Source organism: Homo sapiens, chromosome 2 (assembly GCF_000001405.40).
Source record: "Homo sapiens chromosome 2, GRCh38.p14 Primary Assembly".
NCBI lineage: Eukaryota > Metazoa > Chordata > Mammalia > Primates > Hominidae > Homo > Homo sapiens.
In genome coordinates this window covers 60627568-60632126 of record NC_000002.12, presented here as the reverse complement: position 1 = coordinate 60632126, position 4559 = coordinate 60627568, and the positions used below count along the sequence as shown (strand labels likewise).

General features: G+C 43.8%; 1 annotated feature.

Annotated features, from left to right (window-relative positions):
• Positions 2374-4206: an enhancer, noted in NCBI's record as "VISTA enhancer hs1142". NCBI's record gives its function as "enhancer in: hindbrain (rhombencephalon)[3/3]" and the evidence as "EXISTENCE:transgenic organism evidence [ECO:0001131][PMID:17130149]".

Here is a 4559-nt window from a genome sequence, read left to right as displayed (position 1 = left end):
AACAGAGGGGGACCCTGTTCCAAAATAAGAAAGCAAGCCTGTGCAGAGCATCCCTCCCATGGGGAGCCGTGACCTTGGCACTGGAGACTCCTGCTCTATAAGCCATCACATTGCTGGTCTGTCAATGCCACTTGTGTAATGGTGGGGCAGAGGTTGCAAACTGGCAGCTGTGGACTGTATTTGTTTAGCCTGTATGGCATTTTATTTTATTTTTTACTGAGCCAACTTAAAAAAATTAGAATATTTTGAATAAAAATCAGAATGCTGTATTTTCCTTGAAAGCTGGGGTGCTCTGGGAGCACTGATTGGCAGCCATGGGCTGTCGCTGAGTGGTGCTACCCCTTCTAGATGGAACTTGTTGGTCTAGTTGGTCAGTTCTCATGTAGCTTACTTCATTCATTTACATTTCCTGCCCTGCACAAGAATTCACGGCTCCACAATCAGGAAATGTCCACACAAATGGCTTGGTTCTCTTAAATAGTATAAAATAGTTGCTCATAGCCTCTCTGGGAGGAGAAAAGCTACTAAAGTTATTCTCAGTTATTTATGTGTAAGTCTAGGATGAGTGTGTCAGAATAATTGGCCTCATGAAAATGAGTTGTGGGTTCGGTTCAGGATTTTGTTTTGTTTTGTTTTGTTTTCTTTTGTTTTTGGTGAGGGGATGGGGAAGGAAGACAAAAGTCTAAAGTAAGGGTGGGAAAGACAAAGAGTGGCTCTGAGGCACTGGGGAAGGTGACATCAGAAGGGAGGTTCCAGCCTGGGCAACAAGGCGAAACCCCATCGCTACAAAAGAATACAAAAAAATAATTAGCCGGGCATGGTGGTGGCCCCTGTAGTCACAGCTACTCAGGAGGCTGAGGTGGCAGGATCCCTTGAGCTTGAGAGGCAGAGGTTCCAGTAAACCAAGATCACACCACTGCACTCCAGCCTGGGCAACAGAGTGAGACCCTGTCACAAAAAGAAACAAACAAACAACAAAACAAAGGAGGTTGACACCTTTGCAAAAAGGACTCTGAAAAAGTGTTGGGTTGTCTGGGATTAGACCAAGAGGGAGTTATGGCCATGAGATGGTGGGCATGATTTTTGAACCACTCCCTCCCCCTTAGGAGACTGAGCCCTCCTTCAAGTACAGAGCCATGGACAGAGACCCTTTTTCATTCATCTCTGTTTCCCACGTTGGCATATGTATTAGTCCGTTTTCACGCTGCTGACAAAGACACAATTGCCCGAGACTGGGCAATTTACAAAAGAAAGAGGTTTAATTGGACTCACAGTTCCACACGGCTAGGGAAGCCTCATAATCATGATGGAAGGCAAGGAGGAGAAAGTTCCATCTTACATGGATGGCAGCAGGCAAAGAGAGAATGAGGAAGATGCAAAAGTGGAAACCCCTGGTAAAACCATCAGATCTCACGAGACTAATTCACACCACGAGAATAGTATGGGGGAAACTGCCCCCATGATTCAATTATCTCCCACCAAATCCCTCCCACAACATGTGGGAATTATGGGAGTACAATTCAAGATGAGATTTGGGTGGGGACACAGAGCCAAACCATATCAGCATAGTACTTGCCCCACACTATGAACTCAGTAAATGTCCATGAAATAGGACTGAACAGTATGCCTGTGTATGTGTGCATGTGCACCTGTGTCGCATGTGTGAGCACATTGTGTGGATCTGTGTGCACACATCAGAGTGTGGGAAGAGGCAGGTTAGGAGAGTGGAGGAGGGGTGGACATTAACAGAGAGAGAGAGAAAAGAGGAAGGTGTCTTGGGAGTACCCAACACATGCCAAGAAATACAGGGCTTTTTCATTAGATGACAATGGCTCATCTAGAAATATTTCCTCTCCCTTCCCAAAGACAAGGAGTAGTAATGGTTAGTGGATTGCATTCTTGCCCCCAAGGCCCAAGAATCCACAGCGACAGCTCTGAGTAATGAAGGCTGGGGTGAGTGGCCTCATTTAGTGAATTATTCATTGGATACTCACCCACCTTCCTCTGACATCCATTTTCTTTAAGTCTTTCCCTGTTTCTAACTCAGAATACACTCAGCACGTCACATGGCACAGATGGCGAAATGAAAGACAACAGGATGGAGTAGGTAAGAATCGGAAGTCAAGCAGACTTGGGTGCAAGCCTGTCCCCTCCCTACACTCTGCTGTGTGCCCTTAGGCAAGCTTCTTAGTCTTTCTGACCTCTGGCTTCTTTGCTGAAAATGGGGATAATCATTGTATCTACCTCTTGGGTTTACATAAAGAGTAAACAGTGCCTGGCATTTGGTAAGTGCTTAATAAATGTTACCTATTATTATTCTAAAGTTCAAAGTTAAACAGACCTCCCAGTTTGTCTCTTTCTTCTGATAATGGTTTCGTAACATTGTGGTCTGCACAGAAGATGACTGGCCTAGATGGTTTCAGATGAAGCGCAGTACTGGGGTCCCCAGTGCACATTCTTTTCCATGTTTTGGGGTGTGCACAAGCAGCGGTCACCCACGAGGATATTGCAGAATGTACTTCTGTGTGTGTGTGCTGTGACCTTCTTTCTTTTGGAGTAAGGAGCTGGCTTTGGTCCCTGCAGTATCACACCAACTCTCAGATCACTTTCCCTGGTGAAAAGCCATCTGCCTCAGTCTTCTTTGCAGAAAGCCTCCCTGACTCTCATCCGGGTGTCCCAGGGAGCTTCCTGACCACACTGCTCAAACCTAACCATGCTGACTGCCTGCATCACAGCAGGAGAGGTTGGCTCAAAACCTCACACCAATTTTCCCCTCCTTCTCTTCTAGAAACCTAGAGCTTCTCCCAAATGTAGACAGATGCCCACTTTAGACCTGAACTAGAGAAAATTCCTTATAGCCCAACATATGAAATCGAAGGCTCTGTCTTGCTTCTCCCATCTCCTCTCCTCTCCCTCCCCTTCCTAGTCGTAGAAAGGGAAGATGAAATGCAGCATTAGCCCTTGTTGCTACAGCCCAGCTCCTCGGATGAGCATGTCAGGCTGGATACTGTAGCTAAACATAAATGAATGGTTATTAATGATGGTCATAATGTTTTCTAGCAGTTAGCTGGCTGGGATTGTAGGATTTTTTTTTCCACTGTGTTTTGAAGGGTTAGGTTATTTAAACTTACCATCAAATAGAATCAAATCAAAGTGAGCTAATTTTTCTTAAACACTAATCATTTTAAGGCTATTGAACTAAATATAGAGGCAGTTCATTAAATCATTAAAACAGCCTGCAATAATGCTCACAAAGTCATTATGGAGCTATTCCCTAGCCAGAGAGGTAGTGTTGCCTTAAGCACAGTTTAATCAAATTAGATGGTGGGCTATGTCATGGGGTTTCTCCTATTGATATTCATTAAAAATACATGATTTATCACTAATCTCTGTGAGGTAGATCCCACTCTTCCAAATGAATTTTGTAAATGTCAAGGGGAAGAAAACAGAATGGCGTATTGTTATAATAATTTAAGAGTGGTGTGATCACATTTACATTTTATATACTATGCAATTTAGGAACAGATAATAGCTTTAACAAGGCTAAACTTTTTTCCTTAGTTAAAGTTAGAACAGAAAGGCTGAACCCTGAGGATTAGCCATTATATTTTATTGCAGAACAAGCCCCAACATTTGAATTATCTTTCAGTAGAATGATAGCTTGTCCCATTGTTCAGCTAATGCTTTTCTTAGATTCTTAGGTGGACGGATTTCTACATAAATGTATGCTGTCCCATTCAGACAAAATAAGATTCCTGTTTTCAGGTCTGGCCATGTTTTGGCACATGGGAGAAGCTGTTTGTTTTCTGGCCCTTGGATCTTCCTTGGGTGCCCACACGTCACCCTCTGTGGCTCTTCGGCCTCCAGATCTGCCCTCCAAAGCTTAGTGAAATTTGCCCAGCTCCTTCCTCCTCGGTGGACTGTAAAGGGCTGATAACAGTTTAAGTATTACCCCACCCAGAGGTATTTGCATTTTAACAGGGATCAAAGCTGAAACTAAAGTGATTATGTCCTAATAGTAGAATTTTGAGCATCAGCCAGTGGGTGGAAGAGGATATTCTCTTGCCAGAGGGACCTTCCCTCCAGCCTTGAAGGGAGAGGAGGACAGTCCAGGCAGGGCAAGGCCAGAATGCAGATGGGTGGATGGACAGACAGTAGACCCAGACTACTTTTTCTTTTTTCATTTTGTGCCTTTTCTTTTCTTTGTTTTCTTTAAACTGTGAAATGAGCTTTCCCTGTTTTGAGAACAGGTATCTTTCTGGGGGGTACACTTTGAAATATTGATGTCCTGGCTTGTCCTCTAAACAATTTTTTCCCCTAAAACTGGGGACTAATGTTTGAATCTCGAATTTAGAGTTTAGTTTAAAACTCTCTGTATTGCTTATAAAGTACCCCTGAAGGAAGAGGGTGACTTTCAAAAGGTGCAGCACCTTTTCGATATGAAAACGTGCCTGTGCTTAGCAAGACACATGAGATGTCTGTCTACACTTAAGATGCTTATCAAAAGCTTTTCAGAATATGCAGCCAGCATGGTCAGAATCAGCAGACAGAGGCACTCA